Below are 23,251 nucleotides of genomic sequence, written 5' to 3' on the forward strand. Positions count from 1 at the left end.
TTGTTGGTTTTGGGGTTTTCTGGAGTTGGCAGCTTAATATGATTCGACTCAAAAATACTAAGGACTCTACTTCTAATAGTATGGAGAACACTGATAGTCCTTAGCATAAACTGTTTAAGAAAGTTATGCAAAATAAATGCATTTGACACTTCTGAGTCACCACTCATGAGAGGCAAGGAGTTTAGTGACTCTATACATAATACCTTTGACCATGTGTGGAGAACCAAGGAACGTAATGAAGCTGGTTGGTTGCTCCTAAGTTCACTGGACAAAGTGATGAAATAAAATGATTAACTCAGGGATTCTGTCTCTTGGCTTCAGAAGCAGATACTGAGCCTCAAATCTGCTAAGACTACCCTGAGTGAGAATCTTATCTCCTGTAGAGAAAGAGCTGAAATTGTGGAAAAACAGACACAAGCTCTTATCATGCTAGTGGCTGACCTGCAATAAAAAGTGCATGAACAGCCTCGCCAGGTGTCTACTGTTTCTACCGGTTTTTGTTTTTGTTTTTGTTTTCAGACAGAGTCTTGCTTTGTTGCCCAGGCTGGAGTTCAGTGGCATGATCTCGGCTCACTGCAATCTCTGTCTCCTGGGTTCAAGTGATTCTCCTACCTCAGCCTCCCAAGTAGCTGGGATTACAGATGTGCACCACCATGCCCAGCTAATTTTTGTATTTTTAGTAGAGATGGGGTTTCACCATGTTGGCCAGGCTGTTCTTGAACTCCTGACCTCATGATCTGCCCACCTTGGCCCCCTAAAGTGTTGGGATTACAAGCGTGAGCCACCACGCCCAGCCATCTACTGTTAAAGTGAGGGCATTGACTGGAAAAGAATGGGACCCTGCAACTTGGAATGGGGACATGTGGGAGGACCCTGATGAAGCTGGGGACACTGAGTTTGTAACCTCTGATGAACCTTTGTTACCAGAAGGAACAGCTTCCCCACCCCCAGTAGTGGCAACATCCCCTCCCAGACCCATGCTGCCATCAGCCTTTCTACCTTTGTCTGAGAAGAAAAACTCTGCACTGCCTGAGGCAACAGTGATGGCCTCCCCTGAGGCAGTTGCTAGGCAAAATAATGTTGACTGTACTCAGGACGCACCTCTCAGGACGCACATCCCCATTCAACTCTCCCATTTGGCCTGTGCAGAAGACAGATGGATCTTGAAGAATGACAGTGGATTATCGTAAGCTTAACCAAGTGGTGACTCCAGTTGCAGCTGCTGTACCAGATGTGGTTTCATTGCTTGAGCAAATTAACACATCTCCTGGTACCTGGTATGCAGCCATTTACCAGGCAAATGCCTTTTTCTCCATTTCGTCCATAAGGCCCACCAGAAACAATTTACCTTCAGCTGGCAAGGCCAGCAATATACCTTTACTGTGCTACCTCAAGGGTATATCAACTCTCCAGGTTTGTGCCATAATCTTATTCGGAGAGACCTTGATCGCTTTTCGCTTCCAGAATATATCACACTGGTCCATCACATTGATGACATTATGCTGATTGGATCCAGTGGGCAAGCAGTAGCAAACACAGTGGACTTATTGGTAACACATTTGTGTGCCAGAGGATGGGATATGAATCTGACTAAAATTCAGGGACCTTCTACCTCAGTAAAATTTCTAGGGGTCCAGTGGTGTGGAGCCTGTCAAGATATTCCTTCTAAGGTGAAGGATAAATTGCTGCATTTGGTCCATCCTACAATCAAGAAAGGCACAACACCTAATGGACCTATTTGGATTTTGGAGGCAACACATTCCTCATATGGGTGTGTTATTCTGGCCCATGTGGGGTCCAGGCAGTTGTGCAAGCTGCTCTGCCACTTAGGCCATATGACCCAGCAGATCCAATGGTGCTTGAGGCGTCAGTGGCAGAGAGGGATGCTGTTTGGAGCCTTTGGAAGGCCCCCATAGGTGAATCACAGCAGAGACTTCTAGGATTTTGGAGCAAGGCCCTGCCATCTTCTCCAGATAACTACTCTCCTTTTGAGAGACAACTCTTGGCCTGTTACTGGGCTTTGGTGGAAACTGAACGTTTGACTACGGGTCATCAAGTCACCATGCGACCTGAACTTCCTATCATGAACTGGGTAATTTCTGGCTCATCTAGCCATAAAGTGGGTTGCGCACAGCAGCATTCCATCATCAAATGGAAGTGGTATATACGTGATCAGGCTCAAGTAGGTCCTGAGGCACAAGTAAGTTACATGAGGAAGTGGCTCAAATACACACGGTCTCCACTCCTGCCACCCTGCCTTCTCTCCCTCAGCCTGCACCGATGGCCTCATGGAGGGTTCCCTATGATCAGTTGACAGGAAGAGAAGGCTAGGGCCTGGTTCACCGATGGTTCTGCATGATATGCAGGCACCACCCAAAAGTGGACAGCTGTAGCACTACAGCCCCTTTCTAGGACATCCCTGAAGGATAGCGGTGAAGGGAAATCTTCCCAGTGGGCAGAACTTTGAGCAGTGCACCTGGTTGTGCATTTCGCATGGAAGGAGAAATGGCCAGATGTGCGATCATATACTCATTCATGGGCTGTAGCCAGTGGTTTGGCTGGATGGTCAGGGACTTAGAAGAAGCATGATTGGAGAATTGGTGACAAAGAAATTTGGGGAAGAGGTATGTGGATGGATCTCCCTGAGTGGTCAAAAACTGAAGATATTTGTATCCCATGTATGTGTGACCTCAGCAGAGGAGGATTTTAATAATCAAGTGGATAGGATGACCTGTTCTGTGGACACCACTCAGCCTCTTTTCCTCAGCCACCCCTGTTATTGCCCAATGGGCCCATGAACAAAGTGGCCATGGTGGCAGGGATGGAGGTTAAGCATGGGCTCAGCAACATGAACTTCCACTCATTAAGGCTGACCTGGCTATGGCCACTGCTGAGTGACCAGTTTGCCAGCAGCAGAGACCAACACTGAGCCCTTGATATGGCAGCACTTCTCAGGGTGATCAGCCAGCTACCTGGTGGCAGGTTGATTATATTGGACCTCGTCCATTATGAAAAGGGCAGAAGTTTGTCCCCACTGGAATAGACACTTATTCTGGATATGGGTTTGCCTACCCTGCATGCAATACTTCTGCCAAGACTACTATCCACGGACTCATGGAATGCCTTATTCGCCGCCATGGTACTCCACACAGCATTGTCTCTGACCAAGGCACTCACTTTACGGCTAAAGAAGTGCGGCAGTGGGCTCATGCTCATGGAATTCACTGGTCTTACCATGATCCCCATCATCCTGAAGCAGCTGGAATGATAGAACAGTGGAATAGTCTTTTGAAGTCACAATTACAATGCCAACTATGTGACAATACTTTTCAGGGCCAGGACAAAGTTCTCCAGAAGGCCGTATATACTCTGAATCAGCATCCAATATATGGTACTGTCTCTCCCATAGCCAGGATTCACAGGTCCAGGAATCAAGGGGTGAAAGCGGAAGTGGCACCACTCATCATCACCCCTAGTGATCCACTAGCAAAATTTTTGCTTCCTGTTCCCGCGACATTACGTTCTTCTGGCCTAGAGGTCTTAGTTCCAGAGGGAGGGATATTGCCACCAGAAGACATGACAACAATCCCATTAAACTGGAGGTTAAGATTGCCACCTGGACACTTTGGGCTCCTCCTACCTTTAAGTCAACAGGCTAAGGAGTTAGTGTTGGCTGGGGTGATTGACCCAGACTATCAAGATGAAAGCAGTCCACTACTCCACAACGGAGGTAAGGAATAGTATGCATGGAATACGGGAGATCCATTAGGATGTCTCTTAGTATTACCATGCCCTGTGATTAAGGTCAATGGGAAACTACAATGGCCCAGACCCTTCAGGAATGAAGGTTTGGGTCACTCCACCAGGAAAAAAACCATGACCTGCTGAGGTGCTGGCTAAAGGCAGAGGGAATACAGAATGGGTAATAGAGAAGGTAGTCAATACCAGCTATGACCACGTGACCAGCTGCAGAACCGGGGACTGTAATTGTCACGAGTATTTTCTCTTTCTTTTGTTAAAAACATGTTTGTGCATGTCTACACTTGTACTAAGAAAATACCTTCATTTCCTTTATCATGTTCATAAGATTTATTGACTTGATATCAGCATTTAAGTATTGTTAACTTTATGTAATAGTATTTGGGTTGAGGATTGGTGCATTTCTGGTTATACGAACAATAGTTGTATCATGTTAGGCATAATTATGACCTTATTACTCTTTATTTGAAGATTATGTATGATCTCAGGAGATGTGTATGGGTTCAAGTTGACAACGAGTGGATTTGTGATGGTTGATATTGTCAACTTGATTGGATTGAAGGATACAAAGTATTCATCCTGGGTGTATCTGTGAGGGTTTTGCCAAAGGAGATTAACATTTGAGTCAGTGGGCTGGGAAGGGCAGACCCACCCTTAATTGGGTGGACACCATCTAATCAGCTGCCGGCAAATATAAAGCAGGCAAAAACACATAAAAAGTTGAGACTGGCCTAGCTTCTCAGCCTATATCTTTCTCCCATGCAGGATGCTTCCTGCCCTCAAACATTGGACTCCCAGTTCTACAGTTTTGAGACTGGGACTGGCTCTCCTTGTTCCTCAAGCTTGCAGACAGCCTATTGTGGGATCTTGTGATCGTGTAAGTTAATGCTTAATAAACTCCATTTTATACATATATATATATCCTATTAGTTCTGTCCCTCTAGAGAACCCTAATACAACCTCGTATCCGATACTGTGAGTCACTTACTAGTTCTAGACATTTTTTATAAATTCCTTTGGGATTTTTGCATACATAATCACTTTGTCTGTGCATACAGTTCTTTTTCCTTTGTAAATCTACTATCTTTTTGTCTTGTCTTCTTATATTTGCTAGGGCCTCCATAACAATATTGAATAGAACTGGAGAAAGTGGCCATTCTTGCTTTGTTATTAACATTTTAAAGGAAAAGCGCATATCTCACCATTAATAATGATACTATCTGTAAATTTTTCATAGTTATGCTTTATCAAGTTGAGGAAAATCTCTTCCATTCCTAGTTTGTCAAGAGCCCTTATCACGAATGGGTGTTGATATTATTTTTATTTTTATTTATTTTTGTTATGATTTTTAACAAGTTTTTCAAATGCATTTTTCTGAATCTATTGAGATGATTGTTTTCTCCTTTATTTTGTTGGTACAAATTTTTTATTTAGACGAGTCACGTTTATTGATATATAATTTACATAGTAAAATTCCCCACATATACAATTTTATGCATTTTCACAAAAGCAGAGTTGTGTAACTGCCATAAAAATTAAATAACTGTTCTATTACCCTGAGAATTCCATGTGACCCTTGGTAGTCAACTCCTTCTGCCACCACCATTCCCTGGAAATCACTGATCTGCTTTCTGTCCCTATAGTTTTTCTGGTATGTCATATAAATGGTATTATATGTAGTCTTTTGAGTCTAGTTTCTTTCATTTAGCAATTCATTTGAAAATTGAAAAATGAATTTCCTTTGAAATTCATCCATGTTATTGTATATTTCCTTTTTATTGCTAAGTATTCTGTTGTACAGATGTACCACAGTTTCTAATCACCTCACAGTTGAAAATATTTTGATTTTCCAATTCAGGGCAATTATGAATTTAAAATGCTATAAATATTCATATACAGGTTTTAGTGGAACTGCTGGGTCATACTGTAAGTGTATGTTTAACTTTATAAAGAAAGTCCCAAAACGTTTTCCAAAGTGGTTGTACCATTTTTTATTCCCCCAACAGTGTATGAGAGTTTTAGCTGCAAATACTAGCATTATATTATTTTCTGGTTATTCTAACAGGCACATATGATATCTTATTGTAGTTTTAAGTTACATTTGCTTAAAGACTAATGGTGTTTAGCACCTTTTTGATTATTTGCCATCCATATTTATTTATTTTTTTCTTTTTTTGAGACAGACTCTCTGTGGCCCAGGCTGGAGTGCACTGGTGCCATCTCGGCTCACTGCAACCTCTGCCTCCCGAGTTCAAGTGATTCTCCTGCCTCAGCCTCCCGAGTAGCTGGGACTACACGTGCCTGCCACCACGCCTGGCTAATTTTTGTATTTTCAGTAGAGACGGGGGTTTCACCATATTGGCCCGGCTGGTCTCGAACTCTTGACCTTGTGATCCACCCACCTCAGCCTCCCAAAGTGCTGGGATTACAGGCATTAGTCACCGTGCCTGGCCCATATCTATTCTTTGGTAAAATTTTTATTCAATTATTTTTCCTATTTTAGAATTGAGTTGTTTACACACATATACATTGTATTTTCCTCTGGATACAGATATGTCTTTTGCAAATATTTTCTTCCAGCCTAGACCTCATCATTTCAGTTTTTAAATAATGTGTTTTTTTTTTTTAAAATAAAGCTTTGTATTAGTCCATCTTCACACTGCTGTAAAGATACTACCAGCGACTGGGTAATTAATAAAGGAAAGCGGTTTAATTGACTCACAGTTCTACATGGCTTGAGGAAACTTTACAGTCATGGTGGAAGTTGAAGGGGAAGCAAGACAGGTCTTACATGGTGGCAAGCAAGAAAGACAGGGTATGAAAGAGGAACTGTCAGACACTTATAAAACCATCACATCCCATGATAACTCACTCACTGTCATGAAAACAGCATGGGGGAAACCGCTCCCAGGATCCAATCACCTCCCACCAGGTCCCTCACTCAACACATGGGGATTAATGGGATTACAGTTCAACATATTTGGGTGGGGACACGAGCCAAACCATATCAAATTTTATTCTGAAGCTTTGTGTATCTCTTTTTTTTTTTGGGGGGGGGGGGGATGGAGTTTTGCTCTTGTCGCCCAGGCTGGAGTGCAATGGCACGATCTCAGCTCACTGCAACCACTGCCCCTGGGGTTCAAGCGATTTTCCTGCCTCAGCCTCCCAAGTAGCTGGGATTACAGGTGCATGCCACCACGCCCAGCTAATTTTTGTATTTTTAGTAGAGACGGGGTTTCACCACGTTGGCCAGCCGGTCTCAAACTCCTGACCTCAGGTAATCCACCTGCCTTGGACTCCCAAAGTGCTGGGATTACAGGCATAAGCTACCGCACCCGGTCTGTGTATCTTTTTAAAGATGGATGTCTATGGGGTTGATATAAGAAACCTTTGCCTAACACAAGAGCATAAAGGTGTTTTCCTCTATATTTTTCAGTTTTAGGAATTATTTTTGGTATATAATCTAGTTTTTCTTAATAATGCCTTCATTTAGAGTCAACTGACTGTTAATTATTGACATATTTTATGCAATTTTTAAGCAAATGACGTTTACAAACTGTTTGCTCGTGTACACTTTTTTTTAAAAAAAAAAAAATAGACTTCAGTTTTTTACACCAGTTTTAGGTTCTTAGCAAATTGAGGGGAAAGTACAGAGAGTTCCCTTATACCACCTACCCCCACACATGCACAACCTCTCCCACTGTCAACATCCCACACCTGAGTGGTAGATTTGTTAATAATCAATGAACTTACATTGACAAAATATTATGACCTAAAGTTCATAGTTTATGCTAGGGTTCACTCTTTGCGTTATACATTTTATAGGTTTTGACAAATTCATAATGAAATGCCTCCACCATTATTTAGAATAGTTTAACTGCTGTAAAGATCCTGTACCCTGCCTGTTCATTCCTCCTTCCCTAACCCCTGGAACCACTGATCTTTTTACTATCTTTATAGTGTTACTTTTTCCTGAGTGTCATATAGTTGAAATAATGCATTATATAGCCTTTTCAGACTGGCTTCCTTAATAACATGCATCTAATGTTCCTTCATGTCTTTTCATCATTGATAGCTCATTTCTTTCTTTCTTTTTTTTTTTGAGCTGGAGTTTCACTCTTATTGCCCAGGCTGGAGTGCAATGGCGTGATCTCTGCTCACTGCAGCCTCCGCCTCCCGGGTTCAAGTGATTCTCCTGCCTCAGCCTCCTGAGTAGCTGCGATTAGAGGCACCCACCACCACGCCCGGCTAGTTTTTTTATTTTTAGTAGAGACGGGATTTCACCATGTTGGTCAGGCTGGTCTCGAACTCCTGACCTTAGGCAATCCACCCACCTCGAACTCCCAAAGTGCTGGGATTACAGGCATGAGCCACTGTGCCTGGCCTGCTCATTTCTTTTTAACAATGAAAAATATTCCACTCTCTGGATATACCACAGTTTATTTTTCCATTCACCTACTGAAAGACATCTTGGTTGCTTTCAAATTTTGGCAATTATGACTGAAACTCCTAAAAATATCCATGTGTGGGTTCGTTTTTTTTGTGTGTGTGTTAAGTTTTCAACTCATTTGGGTAAATACCAAGGAGTATCATTACTGGATCATATGGTAAGAGTACGTTCAGTTTTAAGAGAAACTTCTATACTGTCTTCCAAAGTAGCTGATATGATTTGGATCTGTGTCTCCACTGAAATCTCATGTCTAATTGTAACCCTCGGTGTTAGGGGTGGGGTCTGGTGGGAGGTGATTTAATCATGGGGGTGGATTTTCCCCTCGGTACTGTGTGGTAATATTGAGTCTGTTCTTGTGAGATTTAGTCACTCCTCTCCATCTACTCCTAAGATCTTATATGAAAGAAAAAAATTCACCAAAGATGATTAAAAAAGAATAAGAACCAGAGGCAAGGAGGAAAATAATTTGTATATTGTTTACATGAAGGATTAAATCCAATTAAATTTGTGATTTTATTAAATCTTTTTCAACTCTGAAAAAAGCAGCACAGTAAGGGACATAGCTTGACCAGTTATTAAAACACAGTATAAAGCCTCCATAATTAAAACAGCATGGTACTGACACTTGAATGGACTGATTACTAATAGAACAGAATAGAAAGCACAGAAATAGATATAAATACACACAGGAATGTGGGTTTTAAAAGTGGCTTATAAAAGTAAGAGAGCTGAATTATGAAATGATCCTTTACAGAGAGAAAAATGAGAAAGCCCCTCAATTCTTGGAGGAGGAAGGCTCTGAATGGGATCTTTACTTTCCCTCCTTCTATCCATGGTGTTGGATTTGTCTGAGCTAAAATAAAATGCACTCACTGTAACTTTGTGTTCCTTTCTAAATTCAGGTAATTTGGGGCAGCTGGACAGCAGTAGAGTTTCTGCTTCATTAAGCCTCCATTCACCACCACGCTCTTCAAAGCACCCCCTATTCCCCAGGCTTGGCCCTCCACCTCAGGCTCTGCATCTCTCCTGCTGTGGGCCAGCTGTTCCTGGGCTGTAATGTGAAGGCTCTTCAGAGGTCATAGGCCCTTCCCAACCCTCACCGAGGCCTAAGCCCAGATATATATGAAAGCAGAAAGCTGCTCTACATGTGGCTAGCACTCCACCTGGATTTAAGCCCCAGAATTCGGATTGGTCTGAGGGCAGTGTGGTTATCACAGAATTTAAAAACTCCCCAAGTTGTTCTAATATGTAGCTAAGATTGAGAACAGCCACTTTACATTTTTAGCTTTCTCTCCATACATTTTGGTAGATCATTCTCTGATGATGCATGAATAAGATAATGTTAAGTAAAAGCATTATAAGCTACAATGTTATGCATTAATATCAGAACCTTCAGGATGGGGAGAACAGGGTGAATTTGAGTAGGGATGCTCACATTTTAGCTGCTAATCAGTAGCACATTTGTGCTGGGGAACATGGTGAGGCCTTTTGTTACAAATGTTGATTTCAGATCCATCTATCTCTTTCATGTTTCTTCTAATAGCTCTATTGCTGCCAATTACAGAAAGTGCCGATGGTCTCACTGGTATTCTTAGGTGAGCACGTTTCATAAGGAAGCATCCCTGTTAGCCAGCCCGAGTTGGAGGGTTTCCCCTCCACAACCCTCTCCCTCAAGAAAGCACAAAAAGATACTCTTTTTGAGCAGCCATGCATTCTGTTTCTGTTTCTTAATTTAAAAGCATGCTAACCTGTTCACAATCCCTTGTGGGTCACCTTTTAAAAATATTTTTGTAGCTAACTTTGTAATATTTTTAAGTTTCTACACTTTGCATTTAACTTTTAATTTAAACCTCATTTATTTAAAAATATATGTGTCAAACTTATTTTATTCATCAGTTCACTCAGTGGTTTTTAAGTTACCTTTATCATAATACTAGCCTTTAGTATCCAGTTTCATTTACACATTAAAAAATAATATACACTGAATTTTATAAATTTCTATCTTGCTTAGTATAAAGTTTTATTAAAAAACTATCATGTGCTGGAGAAGTAGGAATTCAGATTTGAGTTTTACAAAATTCATTCTGGTAACAAGAAAAGCTCCTGATTTGTCAGTTTCAGTTATCCTCTAATTTGCCTTCAAATTCTAAATGATTGGAAGGCGAAATGGGGCAAGGGGCCTCAAGAGGGAAAGTTTTGCAGACCTTTTAGGTTCTCCTAGGGTCTGGAAGTCCTTTCTGAGGTCATATATATGTACTTTACTTGTGCAATTTTATATTTTGTTTCTCCCTAACAGGACTATGTACACTTATAAGCAGGGATAGGTACAGTTCTCAGATGCTTCCATAAAAATTCAGCACCATGCTAAGTACAGGGTAGGGTATTAGTAAATAATTCTTGCAGGCTGGGCGCGGTGGCTCACAAGGTCAGGAGTTCGAGACCAGACTGGCCAACGTGGTGAAATCCCATCTCTACAAAAAATACAAAAATTAGCCGGGCCTAGTGGCACGTGCCTGTAGTCCCAGCTACTTGGGAGGCTGAGGCAGGAGAATTGCTTGAACTCAGGAGGTGGAGGTTGCAGTGAGCTGAGATTGAGCTACTGCACTCCAGCCTGGGCAACAAAGCAAGACTCCATCTTGAAGAAAAAAAAAAATTCTTGAACTCAGAGGAGGCTTTACCATTAAGTTGAAGGAGTCCAAGCTCTACAGCCCCTTCAAAGGCCTCAGAAAAACTCTAGTAATGTGTTTACCTGGTCATGTGTATACAAATACAGATAATTGTAGATAATGTAGCATATACAATTATAAACAAATGCACTACTATTTTTTAATAGGAATTGTGAAAAACAATTTATTGGAATGCTGTGTTTTTCAGGCACAACCTGCAGTGGTATTGAGGCAGGACAATGGGGTCTGGAGGCAGAGAACATAAGGCCAATTCATGCTGATTTCCTAGAACTAAATCAAATGGAAACACTTCAGCTATGATAGGAAACATCCTCTCCATTTACATAGGGTGTACACCAAGTGAATGACTTTGTAACTTTACTTCATCATCTTCATTTACATAGTGTGTACACCAAGTAACCAATGGAAACCTCTAGAGGGTATTTAAATCCCAGACAATTCCGTAACGGGCCTCTTGAGACCCTATGCTTGGGCCCGCTCCCACCCTGTGGCGTGTACTTTCATTTTCAATACATCTCTGCTTTTGTTGCTTCATTCTTTCCTTGCTTTCTGCATTTTGTCCAATTCTTTCTTCAAGATGCCAGGAACCTGGACACCCTCCATTGGTAACAGTACCACAAACAGCAGATTTGTGAAACTGCATGCTCTTTAAGTTCTTATCAACTTTTCTAGAACAATGAATTATCTTTTGTCACTATAGAAAATATTTCAAAATATAAAGATGCACTCGAGAAATGCAATAATGTAGAAAAAATGTTTATAGTGATATGTCAAGCAGTTAATTAATAAAATTTTTTTCTAGGCTTTGTGGTATTGCTCAATGTGCCAAAAAGGGTTAACTCAGCAGGCTCAGATTGTTCAAACCCTGCACATGCCAAATAAAGGACTGTCCCTTGATCAGCTCCTGGGAAGAGAACTTCTGGCCCCCTAGAATATCCTGTTTTTGTCTGTCTGAATCCCTGAGCCATGCTGTATCAGTTTGACCTCTGGGGACTAGAGACCAAGTAGCTAAGGTCAGTCATTCAGATGTTGATGCCTGTGACTGACCCCCCCGCTCCCCAATAAAAACCATGGACACCAAGGCTCAACTGAGCTTCCCTGGTTGGCTGCACTCTACCTACAATGACACATTGTTGCTGGGATAATTCAGTGCTGTCTGTGCAACTCCACTGGGAGAGGACAAATGAAAACTTGGACATAATTTCTCCTGGACTTCACCCCATGTGCCGTTTTGTTTGCTGAGTTTCATCCATACCCTTCTGTTGTAGTAAACCATTACCATGAGGAAAACAGCTTTTGTTGCTGACATGGAGTCTCACTCTGTCACCCAGGCTGGAGTGCAGTGGTGCAATCTCAGCTCACTGCAGCCTCCGCCTCCCAGGTTCAAGTGATTCTCCTGCCTCAGCCTCCCAAGTAGCTGGGATTTACAGTCCTGAGCTACCGCACCCAGTTAGTTTTTGTATTTTTAGTAGAGACAGGGTTTCCCCATATTCACCAGTCTGGTCTTGAACTCCTGGCCTCAGGTGATCCACCTGCTTTGCCCTCCCAAAGTGCTGGGATTACAGGCATGAGCCACCGTGCCTGGTCCAAAACATCTTCTCTGAGTCCCTTTATAATTGAGCCTGTGGGTACTCTTTAAGAACTCCCAACAAAGTCAGCTTTTAAAATCTTGAATTGCCATGACCTTTCTCATTCTTAATGAACACTGACTTTCATACCTCTTAGTATAATACTAGTATTCCCAGTACTGCATTTTCCTAAATAAGGACCCTAAATTGTCTAATTTCCACCTCCACAAAACCTGGACCTACCCTTGTGTATATGCTCACATCCTGAGCCTTCACACATGGTGCTATCTTCACTTGGAATGAGTCTGCTGAACTGATCCACCTGAAAATTCTGTTCTTCGTTTGGTTCTTTGCCAGAAGTTTGTCCTCCTTGTCAGAGCAGTTCCTCCATCCCCACCACCCATAATACTTTACAAAGAGCTGCTTTAGCACTTACTGCATTAGAATGTGGTTACCTTACATTACAGATGCATGTGTGTGTGCCTTGCTAGACCAGGAATGGACTGGCTCTGTCATTTTGATTCTCTCAGAAAGGGAGGGAGAGGAGACAGAGGACAGGTAGAGAATCAGAATTTGTGTTCATCACCAGACAGACATGGAGTCCATCACTGACTAGCTGTGAGATGTTGGGCAAGTTTCTCTCAGTGCTTCAGTTTCTTTGCCGTAAAACCACTTGCTGAAATACCACTTGCCTTACAGGTTGTTTTGAGGATTAAGTGAGAAGATGTAGGTGAAAAGACCTAGCCAGCAATCTGGGTAAAGCCTAAGGGCACAGGATCTGGAATGAGGTGCCCTGACTTTGAATTTCATTTTTCTCACCTGCTAGTGTGTGACTTGGGGCAAGTTATTTCACTTCACCTCAATGTGTCTATCATGTTATGGAGACAAGAGCATCTACCTCACAGGACCACTATGATGGTTAAATGAGCTAGCCAGTGCCTGGCACATAAGGAGGAATCAATAAATATTGGCTATTAGACATTCAATGAAGGCTAATTCCTTTGTTTTATGGCATAAATCTGTGCATAGACTTGGGCATTTGTGTTTATTTCCTTTAAATTAATATAATCCTGCCTGTACCTCTATGGCAGGGCAGGCAGAAAATTCAGCCTCAGGCAGACAGAGCTCCCCCACGCCCATGTCTAAGAGGTGCTGCAAGAGGTCCCAGGTATTGGTCATCAGCTCCTACAGCTGCTCTGGAGTCCTCATTCAATATCTACTGTCCTCTCTCCCAGTCTTGGAAGATTGTCTTAGTCTGGGCAGGAAGAACCATCCCCTCCTCCCTCCCAACCCCTGCAGAACCTCCAGCAACATTCCCTAGAAGGGAGGGCAGCTACGAGGCAACTGGGAAGGCCAGGGTGGCTTTCTATCTTAATAAGAGCTCCCCCAAAGCCTGGCAACTGCTCCAACAGCTAGACTTGGGTGTAAGGGGACAACAGAGGGCTTCAATGTATATTTCTCCTACTACTACTATTTTTTTACTCCAGCAGACTTTCCACTGCAACTGGGATTCTCTTGCATAGATGGAAGCCTCTGGAATAAGTAGGCCTATTTACAGGCAGATGAGAGCTTCAGGAAGCTACTATTTCCTACAGTCCTAAACGTTCATTCCGCTACTCAATTATTGTTATTTATCAAAGGCATCCAAACTTACTAGGCATTATGGTTCTTAGCCCTGGCTGCACCTCAGAATCCCACCAGGGAGCTTTAAAAAGTGCCCATGCCTGGGTCCCCATCCTCCAGACATTGACTCAGTTTGAAGTAGGGTCCAGTCACAGATGAATTTTTGCAAGTTCCCCAGGTAACTGATGTGCAGCCAGGGCTGGGAATCACTGGGTTAGGATTTGTGGATATGGATGAAATGGGTGTATTATATATAGAGAGAGACCTTACACTGTCCTTTGGAGCCCACCAGCACCACCTCCCTAGCCTTATATAGTGTAGTTACTGTTCTTCCAAGAGATGGCAGGGCCTGATGGGAAATGTCTTGGGTTGAAAGTCAGTTTGGAGTCTTAATTATTTCATTTTTGGTGAACAGTCTGTGGCCTGATTTCCCTTTAGAAAATAAGAAGTTAGGAGGTGAAAAGACTTCTGCCCTGTATTCTTCAGGGGATTCTGGAATGTAGCTTTTTGGGGGAAAAGTTATATAAAAGACGTTTTAATATCTCTAAAAAAAGTCAGTACCCTAATACAAACAGTATGTTTTAATACCTTTATCTCTCTTGAGAGCTTAAAACACTATCCCCTCTCAGCTCTGAGACCTTCAAAGGAAATAAATTGGTGGTGGTATTGCCAAGTTAGTAAGAGCAATTAAAATGTAACCTGGCACTAGTCACAAAATAAGTAAAATGTAGTAAGTTTATTATACACAAAATACATTCAATTACAAAATATACTAATGAGCAGTTTAAAACCAGGTTGATTTCAAACTAGAAATTCAAACTGAGTGAAATATATGAATGAGCTCATGCTGGCAAATACTTTGATACCTTTGGTCTCATAATTTTATCAGCTTGCATTGCTTCACTGCTTTTTACATTTTTAGTTGCATTCATGGTCCTAATGAGGAGGGAAAATGTTCGTATTTGGGCTTAAGTAGGGGCTAGGAAAATGAGAACCATTTATTCCAACCTAAGATTTAATAATTAGATTAATTTCTATACATTTCCATTAATTAAAAGGTAGTGTAATAGCACTTAGTAAGTGCTCAGTATTGCTCTGATAGCTTTACATGTATTCTAATCCTCAAAACTGATGAACCCAAAAGGAAAGTACTCCGATTAACCTCATTTTACACAACAGGAAACTGGAATACAGAATAATTAAGTAACTTTGCCAAGATCATACAAGCAACAGAAAAGGCGGCAGAATTCAAACTGAGGCAGTCTGGCCACGGAGCCCATGCTCTTAACAATGACTTCACTATCCTGCTAGACCCTGCTCAAAAATCTTAATTTCAATTCCGAGTGAGGTGGAACATCTGATTCAGCTTCCATTCCATTCTCCTTCCAGAAACATCATCCCAAACCACAGAACACTTGTCTTTCTTTGCACTTCTCAGTATCAAAGGAGAATATCGTCCTTCATCTGGTGAGCACATTAGCTGATCCTGTTTACGTTTGCTTCTAAGAGTTGGAGGCGGTCCATGTATTAGACTAATCCAATCAACAAATATTAAGCACCTATAAAAACACTGAGGTAAAGGAGAGAAGAATCCAGTCTTTCCTTGCCCAGAGAAGGTTTACCACCTAGTGAGGGAGACAGATAAGCTGCCTCTGCTGGGCAGTGAGATAATTGCCACAATGGAGGGAAGCACATGCTGCTAAGATAGCTCCTGACAGAGGCAAGGACCCAGAGCTGGGGAGGGGCAGGACTGATGGGAAAGTGTTCCTGGAGAGGTGGCTCTTAACCTTGGCCATGTATTAGAAACATTTGGAGAGACTTTAAAAGATTGCCAACCCCAGACCACAAACCAGTCTAATTACATTAGAACCTCTCATGCCCTAAAACAGTGGTCCCTGAAGAGCAGCATTAGCATCCCCTGGGAACCTGTTAGAAATCCCATGCCAGGTTTACTAAACCAGCCCTCAAGGGGATTTCGATGCAAACTAAAGTCTGAGCAGTGGTTCTGAAGCTTAAACAGGCATCAGGATCCTTTCAGGGTTGCTTAAAATACAGATCGCTGTATATAAAGCATACTGAGACCCAGACTGCTAGGTCACCCCCAGAGGTTCTAGTTCCATAGGTCTGGGGTGGGAACCAAAAATATGCATTTCTGACTGGTTGTCACGGTGCACAATTAATGAGAACCACTGTCCTAGAGGAAAGGATGGCCAAATTGGAATCAGAAAGGTAAGAGCTGGCAAGCTGAAGGATGTGGATAATGGGATGAAAACATATTCAACGACAATCAAGCACCAGCTACATGCCAGGTGCTGCTCTAGATGCTAAGACTCCTGGAAGGAACACAGCAAAGTCCCTCTCTCAGGAGCTTACCTGTCCAGGAACACAGATAATAGACATTGTCTGAAAGTGACAAATTCAATGAAGAGCCTCCTACACTCCTTTTCCCCCCTCACACGTTTCCCCCCAGTGTGAGGGGGGAAAAAGGAGTATAGGAGGCTCTTTGGGTCAGAGTACTCAGGTAAGAGCTCTCTGTGAAGACAACTATGGCAGACTGATGCTTGTCCTACAATATCTTTTTTTCCCATCTTATAAAGCAGGAGAATGTGAGCATGGCACATGGCAATCCAGAAAAAAGACTGCATTTCCCAGCCTCCCTTACAGCTGCTGAGACCACAGGGCTAAGTTCCTGCCAATGAGAGGTAGGCATCAATTTGCAACTTACAGGAACCTTTCTGAGGAGGATTAGCCTTTGTCCCTCCTTTTCCTCCCTTCCTCCATCCTGCTGCTTGGTTTGTGAATGCTGCTACCTTAGACCATAAGGACAGAAAACATGTCCCGGGACTGGCAGAGCAGTAAGCCAAAAGGAACCAGGGTCCCGTAAGACGATGGAGCAGAGCCTTTTTACCAGCCCTGGATAGCAAAGTTCTAAACAAATATATGTCTAGATTATTTAAGCCACTGACAGCTTGGGTTGTCTTGGTATTTGTGACAGAAACTAATACTAGTTCAATGGCTTTTGAGTAGAGCCCTAAAAGAAATGAGGGAGCAAAGCATGTAGATATCTGGAAGAAAAAGCATTCTAAGAGGAAAAAAAAAACAAGGGTAAAAGCTCCTGATGTGGGGTCATGCTCAGAGTATTTGAGGAACAGCAAGGAAGCTAGGGTGCCTGGAATAAAGGGAGAATGTTAAAAAATGAGGACAAGAAGTATTGATGGAGGGTTCAGATGATAATAGGGTTATTTTTAAAGTAAAAACTGGTTCATTCATATAAAATATGTACATAACCATGTATATTTTGAAGAATAAGGAAAACATCTTTGTAATCACCACCAAGGTAAGGAAAATGTTGCCAGGACCTTGAAGTCTTTCTCTGTGGCTCATCCTCTTCCCTGCCCCAGAAACAACCACTATCTCCAATTTTTTTATAATCAGCATGTAGCTTTATTTTATAGATGCAAAACCTACATATATTTCTCTTGATGAAACTGCTGGGTCTACTGGGTGTGCACATGTATAAATTTACTAGATAATGCCAAACTTTTCCAAAATAGCTATGCTTATTCTACCATAGTGAATTAAAGTTCCCTTTGTCCTGCATTCTCAGTGCTTTTAGATTTTAATTAAAAGTGTGTAATGACTGAAATGTACACTTTAAAATGGTTGGTGGTAAATTTTATGTGTCATACAACTCAGACAAAAAAGTGTGGAATGGCATCTGTTTCTGTTTTTCCCTGTACTGAGATTAAATATTTTTTTACATTTACGAAGATTTTCAGATACCTCCTATGTGAATTGCCTGTTCAGTCTTTCACCCATTTAACATTTTGTAGTCTGGCTGGGTGCAGTGGCTCACTCCTGTAATCCCAGCACTTTGGGAGTCCGAGGCGGGCAGATTGCTTGAGCTCAGGAGTTTGAGGCTAGCCTGGGCAACATGGTGAAACCCTGTCTCTACCAAAAATACAAAAACTTAGCCGGGTGTGGTGGTGCGTGTCTGTGGTCTCTGCTACTTGGGGAGCTGAGGTGGGAGGCTGCAGTGAGCCGAGATTGCGACACTGCACTCCAGCCTGGGTGACAATGAGACTCCATCTCAAAAAAATATATATTAAAAAATTTTTATAGTCTGTCTCTTAATTCACAGGAAGATTTTGTATTTTCTGAATTCTAGTCCTTTGTATGATGAATGTTGCCAAGTATCTCCTCACAGCATATAGTCAGTCTTTTCGCTCTTTCTGGTAACTTCGGAGGAAACTTTTTTGACAGGGTCTCACTGTCAACCAGGCTGGAGTGCAGTGGCCTGATCACAGCTTACTGCAGCCTCGACTTCCCCGGCCCAAGTGATCCTCCCACCTCAGCCTCCCAAGTAGCTGGGACGACAGGCATGTGCCACCATGCCTAGCTAATTTTTAAATTTTTTGCAGAGACAGAGTCCCTATGTTACCCAGGCTAGTCTCGAACTCCTAGGTTCAAGCGATCCTCTTGCCTTGGCCTCTCAAAATGCTGGATTACAGATGTGAACTATCTTACTCAAAGCAGGAGGCAGTCTACAGAGTAAAATCATAAAATAAATGCAGAAAAAGCATTTGATACAATTTAGCATCCATTTACCTAGGAATAGGAGCGAATTTTCTTACCTGATGAGGGTTATCTCTTAACTACATTAATCCATTAACAAAACATTGCATTCACTTTTATTTTTAATTATTTATTTAATTTTGGAGACAGGCCATGACATCCAGCCTGCATTCAGTTTTTCTGAGGTAAAACCATCATTAAATTCCTGGGATAAATCCAACAAATCAGTATTTTGTTATCCTTTTTAAAACTTCATATTCAGTTTGCAAGTATTTCAAATTTTTATAACTGTAATTATCAGTGATACTAGCTTACATTTTTTCTTTTTCATACTATCCTTGTTGAGTTTGGTGTCTCAAACTCCTGAGTTCAAGCCATCCTTACCCTCACAAAGTGTTGGGATTACAGGCATGCGCCACCAAGCCCGGCCACGTATAACTTTAGGATGGTTTTACCTAGTAATAATTCTGTGGCTGTTTTGTTTGATACTAATACAACTACATCAGAATTCTCTAGGTTACAATTTGCTCAGTGTAGCTTTTGCTATCTTTTAAATTTCAACATTTATTATTCTTATGTTTTATGTCTTTTATAAATAGTATATTATTTAATATTTGATCATCTTTGTCTCATAACTGGAGCATTTAGTCTATTTTCACTTAGTGTAAAAGTGGTCAACATGCAAGGACAGATGAAAACTAGAAGAGTCAAAGGCAAAAGCTAGAAATCAAAACACCATCATACAAACGAAGAATCCCATCAATGAGCTCATCAACAGACTGGACCCAGCTGAGGAAAGAGCTGATGGACTTGAACAAATGTCAGTAAAAACTGTCAAAACTGAAATGCGAAGAGGAAAAATGAAAAAATGCACAACAAAATATTCAAGAGCTATGGAACAGTTACAAAAAGTGTAATACACAAATGGGAATACTAGAGGGAGAAGAAAGGGAACAGAAGAAATATGTGAAATAATAACAGAGAATTTCCCAACATTAGTGATAGACACACCACAGATCCGAGAAATTCTGAGAACACCAAAAAGGGTAAATACCAAAAAAGTCTACACTTAGGCATATGATATTCAAACTGCAAAAAATCAGACAAAGAGAAAATCTTCAAAGAATCCAGAAGAACAAAACACTCTACCTATACAGGGGCATAAATAAAAATTACTTTGTACTTCTCTTCAGAAACCACGTAAGCAATAAAAAAGGACTAATATACTTAAACATCATACCGGAAATCTTAGCTAATGCAGTAAGATAAGACAAGGTATGCAGACTGGGAAGAAAGAAATGAAACTTTCTTCACAGATGGCATGATTATTACGATTATAAAGAAAATCAAAAAGAATTGATGGGGAAACTTCTGAAACTAATAAATGATTACAGCAAAGTTGGAGAATACAAAGCTGATATATAGAAGTCCATTGCTTTCTTATATATAAGAAATGAACAGTTGGAATTTGAAATAAAAACACAGTATCATTTACATTGGCATCATTTACATTAGTATTTCATTACCAAATGCAATACTTAGGTATAAACCTAACACAATATATCTACATGAGGAAAGATCTACATGAGGAAAATTATAAGACCCTGATGAAAGAAATCAAAGGACTAAATAACTAGAAGAGATATTCCAATTCCATGTCTATGAATAAGAAGACAATATCATCAAGATGTCAGTTTTTCCCAACTTGATCTATAGAATCAACACAGTTCCAGTCAAAATCTCAGCAAGCTATTTTGTGGATTCCTACAAATACAACAATGAAGAAGAACAATGTCTGAGGACTGACTCTACGTGACTTCATGACTAACCATAAAGCTATAGTAATCAAAACAGTGTAGTATTGGCAAAAGGTGAGACAAACAGATCAATGGAACAGAAAAGAGAGCTTAGAAATAGACTCTCATAAATACAGTCAACTAGTTTTTTTTAAATTTTTAAAATTGTTTTATTTTTTGAGATGGAGTCTCGCTCTGTTGCCCAGACTGGAGTGCAGGGGCATGATCTCGAGTCACTGCAACCTCCACCTCCCAGGTTCAAGTGATTCTCCTGTATCTGCCTCCTGAGTAGCTGGGACTACAGGCACGCACACCCCCACACCTGGCTAATTTTTGTATTTTTAGTAGAGACAGGGTTTCACCATGTTGGCCAGGCTGGTCTCGAACTACTCATGTCAAGTTATCAGCCCGCCTCAGCCTCCTAAAGTGCTGGGATTACAGGCACGAGCCACTGCATCTGGCCCTGATTTTTGACTAAGGAACAAAGGCAATGGAAAAAAGATATCTTTTCACCAAATGGTGCTGGAACTGGTAAGCCACATGTAAAAAATAAGTCTACAAACAGACTTCATCCTCTATACAAAAATTAACTCAAATTGGATCAAAGTCCTAAATGTAAGAGTTAAAATCTATAAAACTCTTGGAAGAAAAAATGAGGGTAAGTCTTCATGACCTCGAATTTGGTTGGCAGTGGATTTTTAGATAGAAAACCAAAAGCATGAACAACAAAGAAAAAGACAGATTGGAGACTTCATCAAAATTTATGTGTGCTTCAAAGGATAGTATCAAGAAAGTGAAAAGGCAATCCACAAAATGGGAGAAAATGTTTGCAACTTTGTATTTCTTAATGAGGGCCTTTATCTACAATATATGAAATACTCTTAAAACTAAATAATAAAGTCAGATAGCCCAATTAAAACATATGCAAAGGATCTGAATACATATTTCTCCAAAGAAATATACAAATCACCAGGCTGGGCACAGTGGCTCACACCTGTAATCCCAGCACTTTTGGAGGCTGAGATGGGCGGACCACTTGAGCCCAGGAGTTTGAGACCATCCTGGGCAACTATCTGTACCAAAAAATTAAAAAAAAAAATTAGCTGGGCATGGTGGAAAAAAAAAAGCCAGGTGTGGTGGTGTGCACCTGTAGTTCCATCTACTCAGGAGGCTGAGGTGGGAGGATCACTTGAACTCAGGAGGTGGAGGTTACAGTGATTGAGATCATGCAACTGCACCCCAGCCTGGGTGAAAGAGTGAGACGCTGTCTCTAAAAAAAGAAAGAAAAAAAATACAAATGACCAATAAACACATGAAAAAAAATGTTCAACATCATTTGATAAATGATCATTAGAGAAATACAAATCAAAACCATAATCAGATAATATTTCCAACCCACTAGGCTGGCTGTAATAAAAAATAGTAGTAACAAATGGTGAGAATTGAAGAAACTGGAACCATCGCATATTGCAGGGGGTAATTTACAACGGTAAACAGCCACTTTGGAAAAGCCTGGCAGTTCCTCAAAATGTTAAACATGGAATTATATATGACCCATCAATTCTACTCCTACGTATATAACCTAGAGAAATGAAAACATATGGATACAAACACGTGTACATCAATGTTCACAGCAGCATCACTTATAATAGCCAAACTGTGGAAACAATCCAAAAGTCTACCAGCTAGTGAATGAATAAACAAAGCATGGTATATCCATACAATGTTGTTGTTATTCGGCCATAAAATGGAATAAAATACTGATACATCTACAGCATAGATGAACTTTGAAAACATTAGGCTAACTGAATAAAGCCAGTCACAAGACCACATACATGATTCCATATGAAGTGTTCAGAACAAGCAAATACCTAGAAACAGAAAGTAGATTAGTGGTTGCCTAGTGTTGGGAAGTGTAGTGCAATGAATGGGGAGTGATTGCTAATGGGTATGTAGTTTCTTTTTAGGGTAAGAATAATGCACTAAAACTGATCGTGGTGATGATTACACAATGCTGTGAAAAATACTAAAAAAAGCAATAAACCATACACTTTAAATGGGTGAACTGTATATGTGTTATGGAGTTGAAATGTGTCTCACCAATGGGGCAATATATATATATATATACACACACACACACACACACATATATATATACATATATACACACATATATACATATATATACACATATATATATACATATATATATATATATGTGTGTATGTTGGAATCCTGACCCTTCATTCCTCAGAATGTGACTTTACTTGGCAATAAGGTCTTTACAGGGGTAATCTAATTAAATGAGGTCATTAAGGTGGATCCTAATCCAATATGACTCTTGTCCTAACAAACAGGGGAAATCTGGACACAGAGACAAACATGCACAGAAGGAAGACTATATAAAGAGACACAAGGAGAAGACTGCCACCTACAAGCCAATGAGAAAAACCTGCAACACATTCTTCCCTAAGAGGCCTCAGAAGGAAACAACCCTGCTGACACCTTCGTTTCAGACTTGTAGCCTGCAGATCCTGAGACAATACATTTCTGTTAAGACACCCTATTTGTGCAGCTTTGTAAAGGCAGCCCCAGCATATATGTAAAGCTATATATGTAAAGCTTTACATGTGTGTATATATATATATACACATACACAGCAACCTGCATACTGTGTATATATACACATATATACATGTATACATATGTACATATAGCTATACACATATGTACTTTACATATATATGTATAAACACACAAAGGAACGTGAATATATACATATACACACACAAA

At 40.8% G+C, this 23,251-nt stretch overlaps 1 long non-coding RNA gene across 6 annotated transcripts in view, besides 2 other annotated features; it reads left to right on the forward strand.

Annotated features, from left to right (window-relative positions):
* Positions 1–22,519, forward strand: part of ST8SIA5-DT (ST8SIA5 divergent transcript) — a 45,010-nt gene extending 22,491 nt beyond the window's left edge. For 2 of the 6 annotated variants that reach the window (XR_001753435.2, XR_001753432.3), the window contains exons 3-4: positions 4,525–4,636; positions 5,943–6,476. This is a non-coding gene — a long non-coding RNA (ST8SIA5 divergent transcript). Of the gene's footprint in view, positions 1–4,524; positions 4,637–5,942; positions 6,477–16,684 lie in introns of those variants that run through there. The other 4 variants (XR_007066356.1, XR_001753436.3, XR_001753433.3 and 1 more) reach the window with 3 other exon arrangements.
* Positions 16,577–17,078: an enhancer, noted in NCBI's record as "NANOG hESC enhancer chr18:44374579-44375080 (GRCh37/hg19 assembly coordinates)". NCBI's record gives its function as "activates a minimal SCP1, AML or CMV promoter by ChIP-STARR-seq in naive H9 embryonic stem cells {active_cell/tissue: H9 hESC(naive)}" and the evidence as "EXISTENCE:reporter gene assay evidence [ECO:0000049][PMID:30033119]".
* Positions 18,030–18,159: an enhancer, noted in NCBI's record as "active region_13281". NCBI's record gives its function as "activates an Ori minimal core promoter by ATAC-STARR-seq in GM12878 lymphoblastoid cells {active_cell/tissue: GM12878}" and the evidence as "EXISTENCE:reporter gene assay evidence [ECO:0000049][PMID:35858748]".

The sequence above is a fragment of the Homo sapiens genome, chromosome 18, assembly GCF_000001405.40.
Source record: "Homo sapiens chromosome 18, GRCh38.p14 Primary Assembly".
NCBI lineage: Eukaryota > Metazoa > Chordata > Mammalia > Primates > Hominidae > Homo > Homo sapiens.